The sequence below is a fragment of the Homo sapiens genome, chromosome 2, assembly GCF_000001405.40.
Source record: "Homo sapiens chromosome 2, GRCh38.p14 Primary Assembly".
Taxonomy (NCBI): Eukaryota; Metazoa; Chordata; class Mammalia; order Primates; family Hominidae; genus Homo; species Homo sapiens.
This window is the reverse complement of record NC_000002.12, coordinates 131674363-131701877: the sequence shown is the minus strand read 5'-3', so window position 1 is coordinate 131701877 and position 27515 is coordinate 131674363. Positions and strand designations below refer to the sequence as shown.

At 40.6% G+C, this 27515-nt stretch overlaps 1 long non-coding RNA gene across 7 annotated transcripts in view, besides 2 other annotated features; it reads right to left on the bottom strand.

The window, feature by feature from the left end:
- The window catches only part of LINC03124 (long intergenic non-protein coding RNA 3124), an 84906-nt gene extending 65527 nt beyond the window's left edge, over positions 1-19379 (bottom strand). For 3 of the 7 annotated variants that reach the window (NR_167888.1, NR_167889.1, NR_167887.1), the window contains exons 1-5: positions 18890-19379; positions 17059-17169; positions 15667-15814; positions 15437-15548; positions 13575-13712 (exon numbers count right to left, since the gene is read on the bottom strand). This is a non-coding gene — a long non-coding RNA (long intergenic non-protein coding RNA 3124). Of the gene's footprint in view, positions 1-2027; positions 5010-13574; positions 13713-15436; positions 15549-15666; positions 15815-17058; positions 17170-18889 lie in introns of those variants that run through there. The other 4 variants (NR_149016.2, NR_149014.2, NR_149015.2 and 1 more) reach the window with 4 other exon arrangements.
- Positions 19407-19456: a silencer, noted in NCBI's record as "silent region_11970". NCBI's record gives its function as "represses an Ori minimal core promoter by ATAC-STARR-seq in GM12878 lymphoblastoid cells {active_cell/tissue: GM12878}" and the evidence as "EXISTENCE:reporter gene assay evidence [ECO:0000049][PMID:35858748]".
- Positions 19827-19946: an enhancer, noted in NCBI's record as "active region_16539". NCBI's record gives its function as "activates an Ori minimal core promoter by ATAC-STARR-seq in GM12878 lymphoblastoid cells {active_cell/tissue: GM12878}" and the evidence as "EXISTENCE:reporter gene assay evidence [ECO:0000049][PMID:35858748]".

The following is a 27515-nucleotide window of genomic DNA, read 5'->3' as shown; positions in this document are numbered from 1 at the left end:
AACTATAAAAACCCTAGACAAAAGCCCCGAACATAATATTCTGGACATAGGCAATAACAAGGATTTTATGATCAAGTTTCCAATAGCTATTGCAACAAAAACATAAATAGACAAGTGGGACCTAAGTATACTAAGGAGACTATGTTCAACAAAAGAAACTATCAGCATAGTAAACAGACAACCTACAAAATGGGAGAAAATATTTGCAAACTATGGATCTGACAAAGGTCTCATATCCAGAACCTGTAAGGAACTTAAAAAAAATTTTAAGCAAAAACTAAACGACCTCATTGAAAAATGGGCAAAGGACAAGAACAAACACTTCTCAAAAAAGACATACATGCTGTCAACAAGAATATGAAAAAATGCTCCATTTCAAAAATCACTAATCATTAGAGAAATGCAAATGAAAACCACAATAAGATATCATTTCATACCAATCACAATGGCTACTAATAAAAAGTCAGAAAATAACAGATGTTGCTGAGGTTGCAGAGAAAAGGGAAATCTTATACACTTCTGTTGCGAGTGTAAATCAATTCAGCCATTGTATAAAGCAGTTTGAAGATTTCTCAAAAAACTTAAACAGAACTACCATTTGGCGCAGCAATCTCATTACTGGGTACATACACAAAGAAATATAAATTGTTCTACCAAATGACACATGTACTTGTATGATTATCACAGCACTATTCACAGTAGCAAAAACATGGAACCAACCTAGAGGCTCATCAGTGGTGGACTAGAAAAAAAAATGTGTACCACCTGACGTGGTTGCTCACACCTGTATTCCCAGCACTTTGGGAGGCCGAGATAGGTGGATCATTTGATATTAGGAGTTTGAGAAAAGCCTGGCCAACATGGTGAAACACCACCTCTACTAAAAATACAAAAATTAGCCAGGCATGGTGGTCCGTGCCTGTAGACCCAGCTACTTGGGAAGCTGAGGTGGCAGAATAGCTTGAACCTGGGAGGTGAAGGTTGCAGTGGGCCCAGATTATGCCACAGCACTCCAGCCAGGGTGTCAGAGTGAGACTCTATCTCAAAAAGAAAAAAAATTGGTACATATACACCACGAAATACTGCATAGCAACAAAAAAAACAATAAAATTATGGCTTTTGCAACAAAATGGATGTAGCTGGAGGCTACGTCCCACAAATTAGGCAAATTAACACCAAAACAGAAAAAGAAAGCATATATTATCACCTCTAAATGAGAGATAAACATTGGCTCCACATGGTCCAAAACAGGGACCAATAGATACCAGGGCCTATGTGAGGGTAGAGGGTGGAAAATCCGTGAGGACTGAAAAATTACTTATGTCTATCAGGTACTATGCTCACTACCTCAGTGACTAAATTGTTTTTTCCATGAAACCCCAGCAACATGCAATTTACCTACATAACAAAGCTGCACATGTACCCCCTGAACCTAAAATATAAATTAAAAAAGAAAAAAATGAATATCAATAAGATACTTAGTAAACACACAAGTGTTTGGAAATCAAACAACAAACTTCTAAATAATTCACAAAGAAACATCAAAATAAAATTTAGAATACATTTTGAATTGAAAGATAAACATCTGAAGTGCTGAAAGAATAGAGATGGCTTTAGTCTCGAAACTTATGTATAAAAACATTGAAATTTCAATCAGATGGTAATTGGTATGTGATTTGATAATCTATTTTAAAGTTTATACAAAACTGAGAACCCGGCTAGGTGCGGTGGCTCACGCCTGTAATCCCAGGACTTTGGGAATCAGAGGTGGGTGCAACACGAGGTCAGGAGTTCAAGACCAGCCTGGCCAAGATGGTGAAACCCTGTCTCTACTAAAAATAAAAAAATTAGCCAGGCGTGGTGATGGATGCCTGTAATCCTGGCCACTCAGGAGGCTGAGGCAGAAGAATCAATTGAACCCGGGAGGCAGAGGTTGCAGTGAGCCAAGATCGCACCACTGCACTCTAGCCTGGGTGAGAGAGCAAGGCTTCATCTCGAAAAGAAAAAAAAAAAATTGAGAACCCAGATAAAAATAGCTAACTTTATTCTCCAAAAGACAAAAGAATGACAGTGAGTAGACGTCTGCTTCTATTGGCTATCAGATAATCTTATAACCCTGCAGTACTGTGATGGTATGAAGCACATCCACAGCAGTAGTGTGACAGTCAGGTATCAAAAAAACAAGAACTTCAGAGAAGACAAATGTAACGTTTGAAATCAGTAGAAAGAAGTATTGCTTTGAGAAAGTTGGTTATTATTTGGAATTTGAAGAAATAAACAATAAATTTCAAATAACTTAAAGAATGAAATAAAAAATAAAATTAACACTACAAGGAAGTTTTTAAAATATTCATGCCTTTTCCTCATGACATGATATACAAATATCATGAAGTTAAAGATAGACAAATTTTACTAACTAAACAAACTCATTTTTAGCAAACAATTGATAAATACCATTAAAAGACAAATAACAAATTAGAAGAAAATATTTACATGGTATATATAACAAAAAATTGATATTCAGAATGTATAGAGATTATCAAATAATAAAGAACTTGCAAATCCCAGTGGGAAAATGAGCAAAGAATACAAAGAGGAATTGCACAGAAGAAAAAGTATGCATTATGTATTAACAAATGAAAAGTTGCTTCATCTGTGTAATGGCCAAAATGTATGTTAAAATATAAGACAGCATTTCTCCCATCTCATTGGTAAACTAAAAAATACATATGCACTTCATAAATTCATATGTCACTTCAGCATTTTTACAATTAATATCACTTTTGTTATTCTTAAAAAGTTGAAAAATTAAATGAGTTAAAAGCAGTATGAGAGAAATTATTGCAAATATGTGTATAATATTGTTAGGAGAAACCCAAGTAAGACCCCAGAGGCGTAAGTTTAAATGAAGACTAATTAGTTGATATATATAATAATTTAAAAATATTCTGTACATTATAAAACTCACAAAACAAAAGGCAAAAAAATCAAGAAAAAATAATTTCAAAATAAATGCCACAACACAGCTTCCTGTGGTCAAGATTACTCTCCATTCTACTGTGACGTCTAAATAGATTTGTGGGCATCTAGACTAATATTGGGTTTGTATACTCCCAGAAAATTCAAGACTAGTAAATGCACCCAACCTTACAACCCTGAAGCATATTATCACATAGGGGTCTTGTGTAGTTTGCTAAAATGTAATGTACTACCTGTCACAGAATGAGCACTTAACTGATGTTGCGTGTGATGTAGCATAGTAGCAAAAAACTTTAGAATTAGGCCACAATATTTTTAAGGGCTTTGCATGACCAATTATTTTTTGGCACTTAATTTAAAAAAATCTGCATGCTTATTTTAATTTTGTCATTACTTGCCATTGTATCCATCTCAGGACACTGATCAAATAATCACAAAAATCACAGAGATGATACTCTGCTAATTAAGCAAGTTTTCTTTTTTTCTTTGTGAAACCATTCTTCATTTTTTTTTTGGTATTTAGAAATAATTTCTAGTTCTAATTTATTTTCAGTGAAATTTTGCACAGATTCTCCAAATAAAAAACCAAGAATGACCAATTTTATTGGGAAAATACTAAATGTAACAAACTTTATTTTTTGATAAGTGAAGACTTTCTAATTTTGCTTAAAAATTTTAGGTTTAGCCTTAGGTAATAAAATTAATAGAGAGAATGTTTACTACCATACATAAATTCAAAAGACTTGTTAGTTTAGATTGTCAATTTAATGTTGATCAAAGTTGCTTGAAATTTTCAGATAAAATAACTTTAGGTAAGCTTAAGAAAAGTTTGATTGCATTTTGTTTATAATCTTGTACTTCTATTTTCATTCTGATTTAGTAGGCTGCATACTTTTTTAAAAAAAATTTCAGGTGGATTGTGGCCATTCCTTTTCCTCTTAAGTCTTATTTGATTGCTCTTCCAGAACAAATATTAACATTTGCAGTGCTGCATCTGGATCAAGCTGTTTGGTTAGAGAAATTTAAACCTTTAAATCACAAAACAGCTTATTTTCAATTGTCATAGCTGACATTGAATCTATGCCTGATGATGTAAGCAATGTGGATATTGGAATGTCTCTGAGTTTTATATTAATAAATTTACTAGCTAAATAAGTGATGTAATCATCGGTTGATGTCTGAGATGAAGAGTGAGTAAAAACCACATAAAAATCTTCCATAAAACTAAACTTATCTTGGAATTCTTTGTAAAAATAAATTCTGTGAGACGGAACTTTGGAAAGTTTTCCTGTAATTTCTTGAAATCAAATTTAACAGTGCATGGTAGTCTGAACATTCGGCATTCTCCTTTCTGTATAAAAAACATCACTATTTCAAGGCCAGAGAGCCCCCTTTACATGGCTTGTTAAGAATTCTTCAAAATCCAGCATGATTCAAGATACTGATGGATTTTGGGTATTTGAAGAGAATTCCTCTGGTGGCTAAAATGCTTTGAAGATCATTTGTGCAGCAGTCATTCAAGATGAAAGGCTCCCTAGTTAATTGTCCAGTGAGATCACAGTTCCTGTGATAGTGGCAGAAGATGTCCAGCAAGGAGTTAGCAGCAGCCTCGTTGGCTTTTGCTGCATTCTCAATGAAAGCAGAAACTAATGAATAACACTCAAAGTAACCAAGTTCCTGCTTTCTTGTCAAAAATTGAAGATGTACTGCTCCAGCTACTTTGGGGCTTAACACTTTCTCCAATTAAGAAGAGATGTTGAGAGCTTCTAGGACTCAACATCTAGAAGCCCATCATCCAAGACTGTGGCACTAAAAAAACACACCTGAGATTTTATTCTGCAAAGTTATTTTCTATTGAATTCACTGCCTTTTTCACATCAGAGTGAATAATGACAATACATTGTAGCTTGGTCATTTTGCACTCTTCATTCTGATTTTCCAGCAACTTGCATTCCTTTCAACTGCTCATAAGTTAAATTTCTCAATGAAGTAATCACAACAGAACTATCCCTTGGACAGTTTGGAGTTTCCTGAAAAAAACAGATATACCACCATATGATCCAAAAATCCCACTGCTTGGTATATACCCAAAAGAAAGGAAATGAGTATATCAAAGAGATTTCTGCATGCCTAGGTTTGCTGCAGCACTGTTTACAATTACTAATATTTGAAAGCAACCTAAGTGTCCATCAACAGATGAATGAAGAAAATGTGGTACATATATACAATGGAGTACTATTCAGCCATAAAATGAAAGCCTGTCATTTGCAACAACATGGATGGAACTGAAGATTATTATGTCAAGAAAAATAAGCCAGGCACAGAAATACAAACATCACATGTTCTCACTTATTTCCGGGATCTAAAAATAAAAACAATTAAACTCATGGACATAGAGAGTAGAAGGATGATTACCAGAGGCTGGGAAGGGTAGTGAGAGAATGAGGGGGAGGCAGGAATTGTTAATGGATACAAAAAACAAAAAAGAAATAATATATAATAAAAACCTACTATTTGATAGCAAACCCGGGTGACTATAGTCAATAATAACTTAATCATATATTTGAAAATAAGATAAAGAGTGTAACTGGAATGTTTGTAACTCAAAGAATCACTGAGGGGATACCCCATTCTCTATGATGTGCTTTTTTTCACATTGCATGCCCGTATCAAAACATCTCATGTACTCCATAAATACTATGTACCCACAAAAATTAAAAATAAAATATAAAAAAGAACCATCTTCTCTCTGTGTAACAAATATTATAGTTTCAAATCCAAGGCTAGAGAACTGCCCTGAAACAACATACACTCTTTTGACTTGAAGAGTTTTCTGTTTCCTCTATATATAGGTATTTGTGGAAGTTAACATTCTGGAACACTGACTTCCAACACAGCAAGAGGGACAGCCACACATGTAAAATACAATGACAGAGCAGGACTCACAAGTGCGTTCTGCTGAAAATGGAAGCAAGCCAAATTCAAATTATTTTTCTTTTATTTATTTATTTATTTATTTATTTTTTATTATTATACTTTAAGTTTTAGGGTACATGTGCACATTGTGCAGGTTAGTTACATATGTATACATGTGCCATGCTGGTGCACTGCACCCACTAACTCGTCATCTAGCATTAGGTATATCTCCTAATGCTATCCCTCCCCCCTCCCCCCACCCCACAACAGTCCCCAGAGTGTGATGTTCCCCTTCCTGTGTCCATGTGATCTCATTGTTCAATTCCCACCTATGAGTGAGAATATGCGGTGTTTGGTTTTTTGTTCTTGCCATAGTTTACTGAGAATGATGATTTCCAATTTCATCCATGTCCCTACAAAGGACGTGAACTCATCATTTTTTATGGCTGCATAGTATTCCATGGTGTATATGTGCCACATTTTCTTAATCCAGTCTATCCTTGTTGGACATTTGGGTTGGTTCCAAGTCTTTGCTATTGTGAATAATGGCGCAATAAACATAACGTGTGCATGTGTCTTTATAGCAGCATGATTTATAGTCCTTTGGGTATATACCCAGTAACGGGATGGCTGGGTCAAATGGTATTTCTAGTTCTAGATCCCTGATTAATCGCCACACTGACTTCCACAATGGTTGAACTAGTTTACAGTCCCACCAACAATGTAAAAGTGTTCCTATTTCTCCACATCCTCTCCAGCACCTGTTGTTTCCTGACTTTTTAATGATTGCCATTCTAACTGGTGTGAGATGCTATCTCATTGTGGTTTTGATTTGCATTTCTCTGATGGCCAGTGATGATGAACATTTTTTCATGTGTTTTTTGGCTGCATAAATGTCTTCTTTTGAGAAGTGTCTGTTCAGGTCCTTCGCCCACTTTTTGATGGGGTTGTTTGTTTTTTTCTTGTAAATTTGTTTGAGTTCATTGTAGATTCTGGATATTAGCCCTTTGTCAGATGAGTAGGTTGCGAAAATTTTCTCCCATTTTGTAGGTTGCCTGTTCACTCTGATGGTAGTTTCTTTTGCTGTGCAGAAGCTCTTTAGTTTAATTAGATCCCATTTGTCAATTTTGGCTTTTGTTGCCATTGCTTTTGGTGTTTTAGACATGAAGTCCTTGCCCATGCCTATGTCCTGAATGGTAATGCCTAGGTTTTCTTCTAGGGTTTTTATGGTTTTAGGTCTAACGTTTAAGTCTTTAATCCATCTTGAATTGATTTTTGTATAAGGTGTAAGGAAGGGATCCAGTTTCAGCTTTCTACATATGGCCAGCCAGTTTTCCCAGCACCATTTATTAAATAGGGAATCCTTTCCCCATTGCTTGTTTTTCTCAGGTTTGTCAAAGATCAGATAGTTGTAGATATGCGGCATTATTTCTGAGGGCTCTGTTCTGTTCCATTGATCTATATCCCTGTTTTGGTACCAGTACCACGCTGTTTTGGTTACTGTAGCCTTGGAGTATAGTTTGAAGTCAGGTAGTGTGATGCCTCCAGCTTTTGGCTTAGGATTGACTTGGCGATGCGGGCTCTTTTTTGGTTCCATATGAACTTTAAAGTAGTTTTTTCCAATTCTATGAAGAAAGTCATTGGTAGCTTGATGGGGATGGCATTGAATCTATAAATTACCTTGGGCAGTATGACCATTTTCACGATATTGATTCTTCCTACCCATGAGCATGGAATGTTCTTCCATTTGTTTGTATCCTCTTTTATTTCCTTGAGCAGTGGATTGTAGTTCTCCTTGAAGAGGTCCTTCACATCCCTTGTAAGTTGGATTCCTAGGTATTTTATTCTCTTTGAAGCAATTGTGAATGGGAGTTCACTCATGATTTGGCTCTCTGTTGTCTGTTGTTGGTGTATAAGAATGCTTGTGATTTTTGTACATTGATTTTGTATCCTGAGACTTTGCTGAAGTTGCTTATCAGCTTAAGGAGATTTTGGGCTGAGACAATGGGGTTTTCTAGATATACAATCATGTCATCTGCAAACAGGGACAATTTGACTTCCTCTTTTCCTAATTGAATACCCTTTATTTCCTTCTCCTGCCTAATTGCCCTGGCCAGAACTTCCAACACTATGTTGAACAGGAGTGGTGAGAGAGGGCATCCCTGTCTTGTGCCAGTTTTCAAAGGGAATGCTTCCAGTTTTTGCCCATTCAGTATGATATTGGCTGTAGGTTTGTCATAGATAGCTCTTATTATTTTGAAATACGTCCCATCAATACCTAATTTATTGAGAGTTTTTAGCATGAAGGGTTGTTGAATTTTGTCAAAGGCCTTTTCTGCATCTATTGAGATAATCATGTGGTTTTTGTCTTTGGCTCTGTTTATATGCTGGATTACATTTATTGATTTGCGTATATTGAACCAGCCTTGCATCCCAGGGATGAAGCCCACTTGATCATGGTGGATAAGCTTTTTGATGTGCTGCTGGATTCGTTTTGCCAGTATTTTATTGAGGATTCTTGCATCAATGTTCATCAAGGATATTGGTCTAAAATTCTCTTTTTTGGTTGTGTCTCTGCCCGGCTTTGGTATCAGAATGATGCTGGCCTCATAAAAATTTTTCAAACTCATTGATTTTAGCTACCAAAAGGTCTATAGGATATTATCAGACAGAGTTTTTGTAGAATCTAAGATTTAGAATGTGAACTTGAATGTGATTGTGATCATTATGCAATAACTGTTGTAAAAACTCAGGTTGGTGTTGGCCACATAGGACTACAACACTCTTGTGTTGCCTTCACAAGTTCCTCTAAACGTGGCAGTAAACTTAGTGCCTTTCAGTGTTCTCCTTTTTCCCATAGACTCACAGACAGCGAGAGACACCTGGCTCCCCCATATCACTTCCTTAGCAGCCAAGAACAGCATGTCACCCAGAATGAATTCTGGCTGTGGCAGAAAATGGCCTACATAGAGAGATGTCTGGCATTTGGTAATACCTGGGTGAGAGCTTTTCAAGCTCTTATGAAGTATACGATGCATAAGGTCCATTTCTAAATACTAGAAACATCTTGCTGTGAAAGCACATAAAGTCCATAGTTAAGATGATGATGCCATGCAGAAAAACATGTGGCAATGTAACCACCAGTCTTTACTTTTTCAATGGCCTTGCACATGGCTGTTACTGTACTGCTGAAGTCCAGTGTCAGCAGTTTATGTTTCCCCATTGTGTCATTAGCCCAATGCAAAGTACTGTCAAAATTACACCTGGAGGTGCTAACAGGAAAATAATCTGAGTAAATCCACATTTGCCATCTCAACTTCCAAAGATTGGTCGTCAAACAGTGTGTTTCTGTCTTTCTATCTCGGCTATCACCTTTACTACACTGTAGGGATCTGAGGTTTGTAGAGTGGATATCACAGAGTTCTGGTTGTCCTTGTGAGGTTTGATATGATAAACTTTTTCAAAGAAAGTATGCCTGATTACAGAAATGAGTATTGTCCCCTGACAATCCACATAGAATTCTGGGGCATTCTTCTCTTTACATTTAATAATGGCTCCCACTAAACTTGTAATGTTCTGTGGGATTGTATCACTTCTTCACCTTCTTGCTCACTTCCCACCTTCTTGCTCAGAGCTCCAATGGGCTCAGAGCAATGTTTGGAGTGCCAATCACCGAGCTCAATCTTACTCTGAGCATCATCTTCTCTGAGCTCCATCTTACACTGAGAAGCACCTGCTGCAAGCTCCATCTTGCTTGGAGCTCCTTCTTGCTCCAAGCTCTATCTACTCCAAGCTCCATCTTGCTCAGAGCTCCATCTGCTCCATGCTCCATCTTGTTCGAAGTGCCAATCGCTCCAAGCACTATCTTGCTGTGAGCAACATCCGCACAGACATTCATCTTACTCAGAGCTCCATCTAGTCAGAGGTCCATCTACTTTGAGCTCCATCTTGCTGGGAGTTCCAATCACTCCAAGCCCCATCTCGCTGGGAGCTCCAATCACTTCTAGTTCCATTTTGCTCTGAGCACCATGTAGGCGGAGCTCATCTTACTCTGAGCTACATGTGCTCTGAGCTCCACCTTGCTTGGAGCTGTAATCACTGTGGGCTCCATTTTGCTCTGAGCTCCAACTAAAACCAAGCAACATCTCCTCCAAACTCCATCTTGCTTAGAGCTCCTTTTTCGCTCAGAGCTCTACGTGCTCTGAACTGCATCTTGCTCAGAGCTCCAATTGCTCAAAGCAATGTTCAGAGTGCCAATCACTCTGAGCTCCCTCTTGCTCTGGGTACCATCTGCTCTGAGCTCCATCTTACACCAGCAACATCTGCTCCAAGTTCCATTTTGTTTGGAGCTCCTTCTTGCTCAGAGGTCTATCTGATCTGAGCTCCATCTGGTTCAGAGATCCAATCACTCCAAGCTCCATCTTGCTCTGAGCACCATCTGCTTGAAGCTCCATCTGCTCCAAGCTCCATCTTGCTTAGAGCTCCCATCACTCTGAGCTCCACTTTGCTCAGAGCTCCATTTGCTCCAAGCTCCATCTTTCTCAGAGCTCCAATTACAACAAACTCCATCTTGCTCTGAGCACCCTCTGCTCAGAGCTCCATATGCTCGGAGCTGCATCTTCTAGCTCCATCTTGCTGATATCTCCAATCACTTCCAGCTCCATTTTGCTCTGAGCATCATGTGCTCGAAGCTCCATCTTACTGTAAGCAGCATGTTCTCTGAGCTCTGTCTTGCTCTGAGCACCATCTGCTCTGAGCTCCATCTGAAACAGAGCAACATTTGCTCCAAGCTCCATCTTGCTTAGAGCTCCTTCTTGCTCAGAACTTCATTTGCTCCAAGCTCCATCTGCTCCGAGCTCCATCTTGCTGAGAGCTCCAATTACTTCCAGCTTCATTTTGCTCTGAACACCATCTGCTCAAGCTACATCTTACTGTGGGCAACATGTTTTCTGAGCTACATCTTGCTCAGAGCTGCATCTCCTCCAAGCCCTATTGTGCTCGAAGCTCTAATCACTCCGAGGCTGATCTTGCTCTGATCACCATCTGCTCAGAGCTCCAATCCTCCACAGCAAAGTTTTTAAGTTCCAATCATTTCAAGCTCCATGTTGTTATGAGCATCTGCTCTGAGCTCCATCTTACACCGAGCAACATCTGCTCCAAGTTCCATCTTGCTTGGAGCTCCTTTTTGTTCAGAGCTCTATCTGCTCCAAGCTCAATCTTCTCTGAGCTCCATTCTTGCTTGGAGCTCTAATCACTCTGAGCTCCATCATGCTCTGAGCACCATCTGCTCTGAGCTCCATCTGAAACTGACCAACATCTGCACCAAGCTCCATCTTGCTTAGATCTCCTTATTGCTCAGAGTTTCACCTGCTCTGAGCACCATCTTGTTCAGAGCTCCATCTTGCTCAGAGTTCCAGCTGCTCAGAGCAATGTTCAGAGTTCCAATGACTCCAAGCTTTATCTTGCTCTGAGCTCCATCTTACACAGAGGAACCTCGGCTCCAAGCTCCATCTTGCTTGGAGCTCCTTCTTGTCTGAGCTATATTTGCTCTGAGCTGGACACTCCATGCTCCATGTTGCTCTGAGTTCCATCTGCTCAGAGCTCCATCTGCTCCAAGCTCCATCTTGCTCTGAGCACCATCTGCTCTTAGCTCCACCTTGCTCAGAGCCCCAGTCACTCCCAGCTCCATCTTACTCTGAGTACCATCTGCTCTGAGCTCCATTTTGCTCGGAGCTCCATCTTGCTGTGAGACCATAGGCTTGGAGCTCCATCATACTCTGAGCAACATCTGCTCCAAGCTTCATATTAATTGAAGCTCCATCTCACCTGGAGCTCCATCTGCTCTGAGCTCCATCAAGCTTAGAGCTCATCTTGCTCAGAGGTCCATCTTGCTTTGAGCACCATCTGCTCCATGTATGTTTATAGCAGCACTATTCACAATGGTAAAGACTTGGAACCAACCCATATGCCCATCAATGATAGACTGGAAAAAGAAAATGTACTACATGTACATCATGGAATATTACACAGCCATAAAAAGGTATGAGATCAAGTCCTCTGCAGGGACAGGGATGAAGCTGGAAGCCATCATCCTCAGCAAGCTAACACAGGAACAGAAAACCAAACACTGCATGTTCTCACTCATAAGTGGGAGCTGAACAATGAGAACACATTTTAATACTATTACGCCCTCTGAAAATGGTCTGTTTCTCTTAACAACGGATATTTATACTTTGTAATTTTTTTCTCTCTAAAGGATTGTGGCTTCTTCTGTCTGTGCCAGTCTAGGGCCCAGGTTGACTACCTCACTTTGAAATGACCCACCCCATGTCCGTCCGCACATGGTTGGTCCCTCCTGTAAACTGTTTGTTCACAGACTGTTACCACCTGTGGGTCATTTGACAGGAGGTGACCTCACATAGCAATGCACCAGGCAAATCACCAACTGAAAGAATCACTGAAACAACATGTGTCTGCTTATTTCAAAGAATGAATAGGAGTCAGTTGAAGGTGATTAAGTCAGCAACATCTTAAGGTGATAAGATGTCAGTAACATCTTAGATGACCAAGAATAATCCTGTGGGCCCCAAGAACATATGACAATACGGACTACGCCAGCAAAAATCTCACCCATCAGACAACAGCAAATGACACTGTGGCTCAAATGTTAAATGTCCTCTCTTGATGTGTGAAAGCACATGACCAGCAGGAGGCAAAAACATCAGGGAGACAAAGGCTTTGTTGCATATCTGTGGACTTCAGTCTCCAGTGAGACACTCAGAGCCTACATCTGTGTTACCACTGCTGTTTTTATTGCACAGAACATTTCCATATATGTTTCATTCTACAAGAAATGTTTCAACAAACATATATCTGATAAAAGGCTGTCTTCAAAATGTCTAAGCAACTAACACTACTTACTAGCAAAAACACAAAAGAGAAACTAATAACCAAACAAAACCTAAATAGACATTTCTACAAAAAAGACATAACATTGAAAACGAGTTTTAAAAACTTGAATAACATCACAAACCATAAGATATAAATCAAAACAACACATATATCATCTCACTATAATTCAAATGGATGTTATCAAAGTGATAAAATATATTAAAAAAGACACAAATGCTGGTGGAAATTTCCAGAGAAGAACTCGTTTGGTAAGAATGTTAATTAGTATACAGCCGGGCACGGTGGCTCACGCCTGTAATCCCAGCACTTTGGGAGGCCGAGGCCGGCAGATCACGAGGTCAGGAGATTGAGACCATCCTGGCTAACATGGTGAAACCCCGTCTCTACTAAAAATACAAAAAATTAGCCAGGCGTGGTGGCGGGTGCCTGTAATCCCAGCTACTCAGGAGGCTGAGGCAGGAGAATGGCATGAACCCAGGAAGCAGAGCTTGCAGTGAGCTGAGATCATGCCACTGCACTCCAGCCTGGGCAACAGAGCGAGACTCCATCCAAAAAAAAAAAAAAAAGAGAATGTTAATTAGTATACATACTACAGAAACCAGTGGGAGGTTCCTCCAAAAATTAAACCTACAACTACCACTTCATCTAACAATTCTACTACTAAGTATACTTTCAGTGCCAAAGAAATCAGTTTATGCAAGAGATGTCAGCCATCCTATGTGGACTGCAGCACTATTCACAATCGCCAAGATAAGGAATAAACTTACCTGCCCATCCACAGATGAAGGGATAAAGTAACTGTGGTGGACATACACAAACAGAATAGTCTTCAGCCAGAAAATCAGAATGAAATTTCATCATTTGGAGCCATACTGTTGAACCTGGAGGACCGCATGGTAAATGACCTAAACCAGGTAGAGAAAGAAAAACATTGCCACATCTCACTCATGTAGAACCCAAAATAAAAGGCTTTATTGCAATAGATCTAGAGAGCATAACAGTGGTTTCCAGAGATTGGAGGGAAGCAGGGGTATGGGCAGGGATCAGAAATAGGTCCAAAATTACACTTAGATGAGAGGAATGAATTGTTCCTCTCTGTTCCACAGCACAGTGACCAGAGGTTAACAAAACATCACATCTTTTTCACAAAATCTGGAAAAGAAGATTCCAAATGTTTTCACCATAAAGAAATTAACAACTTTGTGATAACAGAGACTCTAAATATCCTGATTTTAACATTCCTCTATGTCTGCATTAACCAAAATGCCCCACTCTAACTCCCCCCATTGTATACCTTTACTATATGGCCAACCTTTTAAAAAATACGTAAATACACAATGCTAAAATTCATGCAGACCACAAAACACCCTGAATTTCTAAAGCAATCCTGAGAAGTCCAAACTACATTGGTTGTGTCACACTTCCTGATTTTTAATTTCATTGAAAAGCTAGGGACCCCATTTCACACAGAGCAGTGGAACAAATTAGAGGACCCAGATGTAAACCCACACCCCTAACACCATCTGATCTTCAAAAAAATCCACGAAAATAAGCTTTGGAGAAAGGACTCCCTCCTCTCAATAGATGGTGCCAGGATAAACTGCTAGCCAGTTGCAGAAGAAAAACAGTGGGCCCCTGTGTCTCACCCTGTACAGAAATTAACTCAAGATGAATGAAGATGTAAACGCAAGACCTCAAACTATGAAAAGCCTGCAAGAGAACTTGGAAATACCCTTCTTGACAGAGGATTTGGCAGAGCATGGCTGTGCCTAAGTCCCCAAAAGCAATTGCAACTAAAACAATTATTGACAAGTGGGGCCTAATATACAAAAGAGCTGCTGCACAGCAGAAGAAATTACCAACACAGTAAACAGACAGCCTACACAATGGGAGAAAATGTTCCCACATCTGCATCTGATGAAGTCTAATATCCAGAATCTACTTCAAATACATTAAGCAAATAAATCAGAAAAACAAAAACTCAATGAAGAAAGGGTAAGGGGCATGAAAACATGCATCTCAAAAGAAGGTTTACAGCAACCAACAGACAAGACATTTCTTTACCTCAGGAATCATCAGAGAAATGCAAAGCAAAAGGCCCATGAGATAGTATTTCACACATTCTGATGAATGACAATTATGACACAGTCCACAAGAATGAACACCAGCAAGGCAGAGGAGGAGGGATGCTGGTCTGCTGTTGGTGGAAATGCAAACTAGTTCGGACACCATGGAAAGCAATGTGGGGATTTCTCAAATAACTTTCTCAACATCACTAAACCTCACAAAAAAATGTCCATGAAAACCACACTAAGATTCTGTCTCATTCCACTCAGAATGAGTACTACCAAAAACAAAACACGAATTTTTGAAGGTGACATCCAGTGTAGACTTACAGAAAGGTAACCTCTTAAACGCTATTGGTGGGGATGTAAATTAGTATACACACTATGAAAAACAGCTAGAGGTTTCTGAAAAAAATTCACAGTACAACTACCATGTCAGCTAACAGCCCCACCACTGGTTCCACATTTAAAGCAGTTGAAGTCCCTAGGTTGAAGAGAGCTATCTGCCTTCCCATGGGTACTAAAGCACTCTTAACTGTGGCCAAGGTAGAGAACCAACCTACCTGTTCAAACACAGCTGCAGGAATGAGGAAACTGCTGTACAGATACACCACGGAATATGTTGCAGCCATAAACCTTTGGGAAATCCTGCCATCTGCAGCCACATGAAGAAATCTGAAGAACAAGGTCCAAAGAATAAGCCTGGTAGAGAAAGTCCCATGCCACGTGATCTCACACATGTAGACTGAAAAAAGCTTTATCTTCTAGAAGTAGAAAGTTCAATAGGGCTTACCAGAGGCTGCTGGGGAAGTGGAGGCAGTCTCGGAAGGAATCAGTGATGGGTACAAAGTTACTCTCAGATGATAGTGATCAATTCTGGCCTTCTATTCCACAGCAGCGTGACTAGCCTTAACACAAATGTATCATATATTTCAAAGTAGCTGGAAGGAAAGATTCTGAATGTTGTTACCAAAAATAATAACTATATGAGATGAAGAGATGCTAAATAACCTGATTTTATCATTATTCAACATATACATGTATGAAAACCTTCCTTGTACCTTCTAATTGTATACATTTAGTATATGACAAATAGTGTTTTAGGAAGTATAAAGAAACAATGCCAAAATTTATGTGGAAATGTGAAACACCCTGAATTTCCAAAGCTATTCTGAGAAATACAAACCATACGGGATGCATCACATTCCCTGAGTTCTAATTAAATGAAAATCCGTAGTTAACAAACCCATATGTTACTGGCATAGACAGAGAAACACAGACCAGTGAGCAAAATGAATGTGCTCAATAATAAACAAAAATTTATATGGAATGAACACATTTTTCAAAACACCACCAAAATGACACAACAGGGAAGACTTCCGAAACTAGATATCCATATGCAAAAGGGTAATACAGGACCCTTATGGTACTAGATACACAATAATCAACTCAAAATGATTAAAGATTATACACAAAACTTGCAACCATAAAGCTCCTATAAAGACAACCTCGGGTGTGCGTATATTTAGAGCAACTTGGATGTATGCTCAGGGTTCACAAAAAGTAAACAAAAATACAAGGGAAAAAAATTATTGACAAGGGACTGCTTTGGTAGTGATTTTGTTTTTTCTTGATTAGTAACCAACAGCACAGCCACCAAGAAATTATGCACATGTGGGACCACGTCAAGCTGAAGCATTTGTGACCAACAAAGGAAACAATAAACAAAATAAAAAGGCACACTAAAAATTACAAGTTTGGGATAAGGGATTATTTTTGAAAAGGTACAAGCCAGTCATACTACCAGCTGGCAAAAAAATAACAAAACAACAGAACAATTGCCAGACAAAAACTGGGCAAATAACCGGATTAGATATTTTTCCAAAGAAGACAGGAAACTGACCGAATGTCTACAAAAACGTGGTTAACATTACTACTCATGAGAAAAATGCAGATCAAAACCACACTCAGATCTTATCTCACTCCAATAGAATGAACATTACAAAAAGATCAAAATATTTAAAAAGACAATTCCTGGTATGAATTGCCAGAAAGGGGAACTGTTTGTGCAAACATAAATTAGTATTAACACTATAAAAAACAGTTAGAGGTCTTGCAAAGAATAGGAAAAAAAGAAATACCATTCCATCTAGCAGTCCCATTACTGGGTGTAAATTCAACCTACCTGTTCATCCACAGATAAAGAGATCAAGAAACTCTCATATACATACACTAGGAAATATTCTTCAGCCATCAAAATAATGAAACAGTCCCATTTAGAGCAACGCAGATGAACCTGGAAAACATTATGTTAAATGTAAGGAGCTAGGCCTAGAAAAACACTGCATGATACCACTCATGTGAAATCTTAAGATGTTTATCTTAATGAAGTAAAAAGCACAATATTGGTTACCAGAGTTTGGGAGATAGAGGGGGAATGGGGAAGGATTGATTATGGAAACAAAGTTATCTTAACATTAAAGGAACAAATCTGAGGTTCTCCTCCTCAGCCTGGTGACTGGAGTTAACAATATCATATTTTTCTAGAGTAAGAAGGGAGAATTTTGAATGTTCTCCCCACAAAAAAAAAAAAAACCTGGATGAGCAAATAGAGATCCTAAGTACCCTGATTTGATCATTACCCAATCTGTATGTATGAAAATGTACCCCTAATTATGGACCTTTATGTTGTGAAAAAAAGTTAACAGAAATAAATACGTATTGCTAAAAATCACAGGGAACCACAAAAGCAATGAATATCTAAAGGAATCCTGAGAAATACAAAGTGAAGACCCACAATCCTTAATATCAAATTACACTGCCAAGTTGTAGTTATACAGCTGATATATGATACTTGCATAAACTATGGACAAAAACAGGGAGGACAAAAACATGATCAACACAAATATGGACACAATCAACTGACTTTGATAAAGAACACTGCAATGTGGAAGGCAGAGAATGAATACCTTTGACAAAAATGATATCCAGATGCAGAAGCGAGAAATAGGACCTTATTTTACACGATGTATGAAAATGAACACCCACTCCCCCAAATTGAAGGCAAAACAAAAGACCATAAACTACAAAATGTTTTTAACTAAAACACAGGATGAGCATATATTTTGGGTCACTTGAATCTCTGCTCACCTTTGCAAAGAGGAAAATAAACACCCTGGAAGAAAAACCTCATTGACAATTAAATGCTTTGTCACTGACATATTATTTTCTTATATGGGTGACGAAAATTACATGCATGAAACGCAAAAATAAATATCATGTTGACTACATCAACATGAAAAGTTTCTGCACATCAAAGAAAACTACTTTCCAATTAAAAAAGCATCCTATAGATTAGGCAAAAATTTCAGGCAATCTTGTAATTCACGAGGAGTTGTCATCTAATATGTACACAAAAAACACTACAAAGTAGCAAAAGCATCCAATCTAATATTTTGCAAAGAACCTGAACAGACAATTCTGCACAGCCATAAAATCGAACAACAAATAAGAGATAAGGTCCTCAAAATCAACTATTCATTAGAAAACTGTAATTCAAAACCACACACAGATAATCTCACACTTATCGAATATTCCTTGATTTTTTTAAAAAAATAGGAGGGGCTGGGAACGGTGTCTCATGCCTGTAATCTCTGCACTTTGCGAGGCTGAGGCAGGTGGGTCACCTGAGGTCAGGAGTTTGAGACCAGCCTGACCAATATCGTGAAACCCCATCTCTACTAAAAATACAAAAATGAGCTGGGCATGGTGGCGGCGCCTGTAGTCCCAGCTACTCTGGAGGCTGAGACAGGAGACTTGCTTAAAACCAGGCAGCGGTTGCAGTCGGCCGAGATGGCGCCACTGCACTCCAGCCTGTAAGACAGAGCAAGACTCCGTCTCAAAACAAAAACAAAAACAAAACAAACCCCAAACCAAAAATAGTAGGAATGCGGGTGTGGTTTTGGAGAAAGGGAAACTCATACACTGTAGGTGGAAATGAAAATTAGGATACACACCATGGAAAACAGCTAAATAGCTGGAGACTCCTCAAAGAACTGAAAATACAGATGCCCCCTGCTCTAGCGAGGTCTCTTTTTAAAGGTGCTGAGGCATCAAAAATAATCCTAGACTCCAGCTCAGAGGCCCCTGGGGCTCCGAGGGACCCAGGTCCCGCGTTTTACCGCCAGCTGTGGGCCAGGGCGCTCCTATACGCTGGACGCGGGTCGGACATTGGCATAGCCTTCCCGGCCGGGGTGCGGACGCTGCAGTAGCCAGGACCGCACAACCGCCCCCAAGCGGAGGACTCGGGCCCAGATGCCCACGAAGAAGTGCGGGCACGAAAACAGGGAGAGGCAGGGAAGGAGCAGGGAGGGTTCCCGGTGGGGTCCACGCCCCCGCCACTGACCGCGGAGACCTGTCTCCTACTCCACCATCACATGGAACCCACCACCGCTCAGAAGCTCGCTCTGACCACGCTGCTGCTGCTGCAGGGGCGTCGCAGGAACTGCAGTCTCAGCTCCGTAGGGACACGCACGCTAGCAGCATCCCTAGTGCCAGGTTGAAGCTCCACCCCCTCTTAAAGGGACCGCGGCTCGGACTTGCCAGAAGCCGCTTAGGGTTGCGGCACAGGCTGAGCCTCTGCCCAGCCCAGGGGACGACGAAAGGCCCCTGGTCTCTCATCCTCCCCAGCTTTCGGGCCCTAGAAGTCGCAGGAGCGCTCCCTGTGACCGCCTCCCGGAGATCGGCTCCCTTTGCCTAGGGAGCGCCCAGGACCTGCCCCTGCCCTCCTCTGGACCTCAGCTTCACCATCCGCAAAGGAAGCAGCCTCGCTAGAGCTCTGGGGGTCCCTCAAGCTTGGCGTCTCAGGATCCAGGGTGGGCTCCCCTGCCCCTCTGCAGAGGGGGCCCAGAGAACCACAGAAAGCTGGGGGCTGGAGGGACAGTTCGGAGGGCAGCAGGGCCTCCCCGGCCTCACTGTCCGCATCTGTCCTGTGGGAGCTCGCGGGCCTCGCTATGGCCCAGGCACCCACAGCCTCACCAGGGCTGCCTGGGTCACCGGGCTCTCCAGGAGGCAGGCAGGGGCCCTGGGGTCCAGCGCTGCCCCCATCTCAACTCTTTCCTTCATCAGGGCCCACGAGGGGCCCTGTGGACTGGACCCAGGCCCGCCCATTCCCAGGGAGAGGCTATTAATTATTTCCTCAATTTCAGAGCCTGTTATTGGTCTATTCAGAGATTCAGCTTCTTCCTGGTTTAGTCTTGGGAGGGTGTATGTGTCCAGGAATTTATCCATTTCCTTCTAGATTTTCTAGTGTACTTGTGTAGAGGTGTTTGTAGTATTCTCTGATGGTAGCTTGTATTTCTGTGGGATCAGTGGTGATATCCCCTTTATCATTTTTTATTGCGTCTATTTGATTCTTCTCTCTTTTCTTCTTTATGAGTCTTGCTAGCGGTCTATCAATTTTGTTGATCTTTTCAAAAAACCAGCTCCTGGATTCATTGATTTTTTTGAAGGGTTTTTTGTGTCTCTATTTCCTTCAGTTCTGCTCTGATCTTACTTATTTCTTGCCTTCTGCTAGCTTTTGAATGTGTTTGCTGTTGCTTCTCTAGTTCTTTTCATTATGATGTTAGGGTGTCAATTTTAGATCTTTCCTGCTTTCTCTTGTGGGCATTTAGTGCTATAAATTTCCCTCTACACACTGCTTTAAATGTGTCTCAGAGATTCTGGTATGTTGTGTCTTTGTTCTCATTGGTTTCTAAGAACATCTTTATTTCTGCCTTCATTTTGTTATATACCCAGTAGTCATTCAGGAGCAGGTTGTTCAGTTTCCATGTAGTTGAGTGGTTTTGAGTGAGTTTCTTAATCCTGAGTTCTAGTTTGATTGCACTGTGGTCTGAGAGACAGTTTGTTATAATTTCTGTTCTTTTACATTTGCTGAGGAGTGCTTTACTTCCAACTGTGTGGTCAATTTTGGAATAAGTGCTGTGCGGTGCTAAGAAGAATGTAGATTCTGTTGATTTGGGGTGGAGAGTTCTGTAGATGTCTATTAGGTCTGCTTGGTGCAGAGCTGAGTTCAATTCCTGGATATCCTTGTTAACTTTCTGTCTCGTTGATCTGTCTAATGTTGACATTAGGGTGTTAAAGTCTCCCGTTATTATTGTGTGGGAGTCTATATTTTGGTTGCAGATGAGTTTATAGTCAAAGTAAAAAACACACGAAGGGCATTCACATTTCCAGGAACAGAAGCATCCTGTCTGGTTTTTCAGAGGTGAAGGGAGCAGTCTGAAGGGGCTGTGGCACAGGTGTGTCTATAATCAAAGCTCACAGCCGAGGCCCTGGGGGAGGTTCAGGTATGCCCCAGGGGGTGCGCCTCATCCAGCACTTCACTGCCAGGGGCCTCATCTTTATTAAATTCTGGGCCTTTTCCTGGGCAATAGTTACACAAGGTGCGTTCAATGAACCCTATGTCCTGTGGCTGCCACCCATTGCAGGGTCACAAAGGTAATGATCACCACCCCCTCCACCTTCTGCTGAGGGTCCGGGTGACCCCCTGGTGGTGTAACCCAGGCCCTCACCCCTAAGGGGTCCTGAGTCTTGCTCACCACGGAGTCCTTGGTCTAGGGCTCCCACACTTGTCCACGTACCATCAAATGCTGTGTATTGAGAGGCGCTTGTGTAGAGCCCCTCCTGCCCCAGGCAGCATAACCCTGCTTCTGCTGAAACCACGGTCCAGGTGGTACACATTTTTCTGCCCGCAGGTCCCATGGAGGAGCAGCCTGAGGACAAAGCAGCACCCAGAGCTTGTTTTTTCAGAGAATTTGGCCTTGTCCTGTCTAGAAGCCCCACAGCTGTGGAAACCAGGACCTCCTGCTTTTCAGAGCCTAGATGTGCAGGATATAGATGCACCTCAGAGGTCCTGGGTGTGAGGTGGAAGGTTGGGGGACACTGGGCTTCCTACTGCTGTGCTCCCATTGCCGCATCTTCTACCTGGTGGGACAAGGCAGCTAGCAAGGGTGACAGATTCACCCAGACACTGTGTCCTCCCACATCCTGACCTGGCACCTGAGCCAAACTGCTGGGTCTGAAGCTCCCAGGAGCATGTGTGTGCTGTGACCAGTGGACCTATGGCATGCGCCCTCTTCCTCCCTCTATGGCATGGTATCAATTCCTCTGATGGTGTCATGTGAGGTCTCGTCCTGATGGGTAGAACTTTCTATAAACCATCCCATGGCCCTGGGGAAAGGCAAGCTCATCCCTTCAGGTTTAGCTGTTTCTGTTAAATGCAACCCTGTTCTTCCCAGGGCATCAGGGCCCGGTGCAGTTGTCCCAGCCTGACAGGAAGTCCCCTTGATGGTTGTGTGGAGGGTGCAGGCTGGGCCTAGCTCATGACCCTGGCAAAGGGCAGGTGAGCCCTGGGGCTGACCACCTGCACTTTCTGTTTGGTGGTGGGAGATGTGGGGCAATATTTCTTGCCTTCCCTTTAGAGAGCATCTCCCAGCCTGCCCAGACCACTAGACCCCTAAAAATGTGACTTGTAGGCAGGTCCTGCCTGGCTCTCTGTGGTGCTTTTCTCTCCCCTCCAAGCATCTGTGACTCCCAGGCCTCCAGCCCTGCTGGCTTCCCCCATCTGAGCTCCTGATGCAGGGGGAGGACTGTACTGTGGCAGGCAGCATGCCGGTTTACACAGTTCTGGGACAAAACTATAGGTATACCTTATTTTATGTCCCAGGTAAATGAATCCAATTTCTTGATGCTTTTTTGACACAGAGGGAAGAAATGCATTGGTGAGCTCCATGGGCCAGAGCTCAGGTCCATGCTCAGGCTCTGGGAGCAGCTGCGCAGCTCTGGAGCTGTTGCGGGGCCCAGGGAAGGGGTGGGTGCTGTGTCTTTGCTCACTGTGTTAAAGGCTTTATTTGTTTCTTTGTTCAGCTTGTTTTCTTTGACCCCTGTTTAGCAATACTGAAAATCAAGCATTTCTAAGAGGCGGAAACCTTGATTTGGAGCAGGGGCGGGGCATTGGGTGGAAATGGAAAATAGGTTGATAGTGGGAATTTCATTTTCTGGAGCTCACGTGCAGCCTCTTGATGGCCCCGTCACAAGTTCACCTGATGACCTGAGTGGCCACTGTCTTTCTCCTGAGTGGTTTGTATGCTTATCTACCAGCATTTATTATTTTTATTTTTTTGCATGATAAGTTTCCAAGGAACCTTAGTGATGGGGACTGTCTCTCTTAAAATTAAGTTGTGTAAATAACTCCCAGAGCCGTGCTGGTAAGAAACAAAACAAAACAAAAAGAACTAGAAGCTTGAAACAAACATAGGATTTCTGCTGGAAAAAGGATGCAAAGCAGGCCTGCCTGCAGCACTTCCCCAGAGCTAATCCTTGAGCCGAAAGAGCTTCCTGGTGAAGCCTCGCACTCTCTGTAACAGGGCGTGGGGGGACCGAGACATGAGGGCTCCAGATTTGACCATGTTTACCTAGTTATGGGATTTCAATCATGTCTTTTAAATTCTTTGAGCTGCAGTTTTCACATATATAAAGTGAAAATATTTTTAAATCTTTAATTTGTATTATAACCTTGTGTAAAGATAAAATAGTACACTTGAAAGCATTTTAGCTGAAGTCAAACGTTCACGTGTGTGCATGCGATGGCTTCTTAATTATTTTAGGGCTTATCCTGGTTTTACTGGTACTGTTACTAGCACTGCTGCTTCTCCATATCTCTGAAAACTATGAAATACTTAGAACTGAAGCAACAAGAAGCACCTGTCAAAGCGTTCTATGGCCGATGACAGATTTGACACAACTAGATATAACAATATGTTAGATGGTGCCTACAGCACTGCTGAGCAGAGACTTCATGCTGTTCAAAGTCAAAGGTGTCCCTAGAATTCTGAACTTGCTGAAGCCGCCCTCAGAACTGAAGTTGAGAAAAGTACATTTTCAATTAAAGAAAGTCTGAGAGAATGTGTTGCCATCACACCCAAACCACAATAAATGCAAAAGAAAGCTGCTCAGGTTGAAGAAAAATGATAACAATTGGAAATTCTAGTTCTCAGAAAAGATGAAAGTGTGCCAAAAATAGTAAACATGTGGAGGGGAAATTGCTATTTTAATGACATCCTCCAGGAATTACAACATGTGCAGAAGAAAAATCTATGACAACATGGCACAAAAGATCAGAGGAGGGAGGAGGGTAAGGTAAGGTTTTTATATTTTATATACAGTGTTATGATATTTAATATACTTTAAGTATTTTTATTTTAATTTCTAAAGAACTCACTAAAAATAAATAAATGAAACAAAGAGTCATAGTTAAAAAAAAACAAGATACAAAATCCATACTAAAAAAAAAGAAAACCCCATAAAACAAACAAACAAACAAACAAATGAAAACTACAATAATCCAGAAGAAGACCAGGAAGGCAGAACAGAGACTGTCAAAGTAGGTAAAAAGGAAACCTCAATATCAGCTTTTAAAAAGAAATACACTTATGAGGTAAAGATACAAATAGATTCAAACTGAAAAGATGGACTAATATACACCATGCAAATCTCTGTTATCAAAAACTGCAGCCAGTGTATTAATGGCAGATAAGACAGACTACAAGAAAGACAAGCATCAACAGGGATAAAGAAGGACGTTTTATGCTAATGAGTCGATTTGCTTAGAAAACCTAATAATCATAAGCATGTATGCACCTAAGAAAAATAACAAAATACACAAAGCAAAAGTTATTGAATTAAAAGGATAAATGCATAAATCCACAATTTGACAATTCTAATTCTTATATCTCAGAAATTAATAGAAAAAAATAACTCCAACAATAACACTACAAGGTATTAATAGAAGAGATTATAACCAGAGCACTGGGAGAAAAACAGCAATATCCAATATGCTTACAATATTGGTTGACAACTCAAAAGTTCCCAAAAGAATTTTTGACACTAAAGGTAAATAGTCTGGAAAACCTAAAAGCCAGCATAGGAAGGAAGTGGAAAATGAAATGTTGATTGAAAATAAATCTGGAAGTCCAGGCGCGGTGGCTCATGCCTGTAATCCCAGCACTTTGGGAGACCAAGGTGGGTGGATCACCTGAGATCGGGAGTTCGAGAAACTCTGTCTGTACTAAAAATACAAAATTAGCCAGGTGTGGCGGCACATGCTTGTAATCCCAGCTACTTGGAGGCTATGGCAGAAGAATCGCTTGAACCTGAGAGGCAGAGGTTGTGGTGAGCCGAGATCACCCCGTTGCACTCCAGCCTAGGCAACAAGATCAAAACTCCATCCCCCCGCTCCCCAAAAAAAAGAAAAGAAAAGAAATCTGAAAAAAGGAAAAGAGAATTGAGGATAAGGTTTTGGGATACAAAATCCAAAATCAAGTGATAGAAATAAGTTCAAATATATCACTTTTTCCTACCAAACCTAGAGGGATTAACCTCATATATTAAAATACAAAATTGTTAATAACAAAGCAGCACTTTCAAATTAAAGAAAGAAAAATAATGGGAATAAAAATTTTAAGTAAATATTCACAGAAAGCAAGCTGCTACCACAAAATTAATTTTAGTTCAAATAAAATTTAAGGAAGAAATAATAAACAACAGGATAGACACTGCACATGGAGGGACAATAGAACCGAGTAGGTGAAGCAACGTCAAGTCCAACGCTGGCCTCGCCTCCAGGACGTACAAAGAAACTAACAGGAAGAGCAGGTCTAGAGAGGGATGCTGGAACTCATACTTCTGAATTTAAATGGGAAATAGACAAAGATGTTATGTGTTTATAAAATATTTTAAAATCACAACAAATGCTGAATATACATTTTCTAATATATGTAATACTTACTAAATGGGACCCATATTAGGTTGCAAAAGAAATTACAAAAAAACTGGAGCTAGGGACCAAAGGACTAACAGAAGTCAGAACAAAAAACACGCCCCATATATTTTAGGAAAAAACGGCACAGTGATTTAATGGTAAATCACTATAAACATGAAGGGATTCACCTAGAATAGAGATGAGATTCCAGAGTTCAAGACGACAACATGTGTCAGCCTGACTTTCTGAATGACTGCATAGGAAAGCCTGCCATCCAAGGAAGCGCAGAAAAGGACACCCCTCAGGTCCTGGATGGAGGAGGATGACCCCCAATACTGGATGGAGAAGGATGCCCCCCAGTCCTAGATGGAGAAGGATATCCCCCTCAGTCCTGGATGGAGAAGGATGCCCCCTAGTTACTGGATGGGAAAGGATGTCCCCCAAGTCCTGAATGGAGAAGGATAACCCCCCAGTCTTGGATGGAGAAAGACAACCCCCAGTCCTGGATGGAGAAGGATAACCCCCCAGTCCTGGATGAAGAAAGATGCCCCCCAAGTCCTAAATGGAGAAGGATGCCCCCCAAGTCCAGATGAAGAAGAATTTCCCCCACTCCTGAATGGAATAGGATCCCCCTCAAGTCCTGGGTGGATAAGACACCTCCCAAGTCCTGGGTGGAGAAGGACATCCTTCAGGTCCCAGATGGAGAAGGATGTTCCCCAAGTCCTGCTTGGAGAGGGTGGCTCTGGGGACCGCATGGGGAAGGATGCCCTTTTTCCAGCCTCCCCATCCATACTTATCCTGACCTGTTAGTGTAGAACAAAGAGATTTGGAGGAAGAAACACGGGACTAAATTTACTCAGAATGTTTTCCTTTTAATTAACATTTTATAAATTCTGATTTTTCTTTGATAAAAATAAGCGAAATGTATGATATAAACACAGTGTAACAACCAATTAGACCTATTTTTCCAAATCTGTGTCCTGGTTACCGGCTCTATTAGTCATTCTGCTTTGCTGTATTTGTAAAACTTCTCAAAATTAAAGATAAAAGAGTTTATTGCTAGTAACATGTACAAATAGGCATTGAATAAAATGTGACTCTTTAAAAATTAGTTTATTCTATGGGCTTCTTTTGGTGTACTAAGATTACTAGTGGATCTTTATTACAAGCTCACTGGTAAAAATAGACAATGTGATAATATTCTAATTTGTTAGAAATTAGTGTTGAGTGAGTATTAATCAAAACTTTAAAACCAAAATACATGGACATAAGAATAAATTATTCGACTTAATTATCTACTGACTTTAAATTCTAATTGCTAAATTTACTTTTTGTCCATTTCACCTCCTTCAAATCGCCAATTAACTCTTCATTTTTCTCTCCTGTCAATATTTTATTCTCATTTATTTTTTTCTATTTCCTGATTTTTTGAATAACTAAGGGAGTCGTGTTTTGCTTGTGTTAGAATGACTTCATTACACCAACCCATTAGGCAACTAGACCCTCACCAAGGTGAGCACTAGGAGACTTCAGACCATGGAGCCTCTCCTGATTTTTGACTCAGGCTACCTGGCAACTGTGTTTAAATTACGAATTGTTTAATTTTTTAGATCCCCTATAGATAAAGAAGGATTTTAATAACCATCAATTTAAAATGCACATGGACACTTTGTAACTGACATTTATTGCAGTTTCTGTGCTGCAGCCTCATGAGTAACTGTTTGTAAGGAACATCATGTTCCTCATTCTGCCCTTGCTCCTTGGGCTCCAACGGGAAAAACCAGAAATTCTGTGGGTATAAAACATGGAAACATTCATTCTTT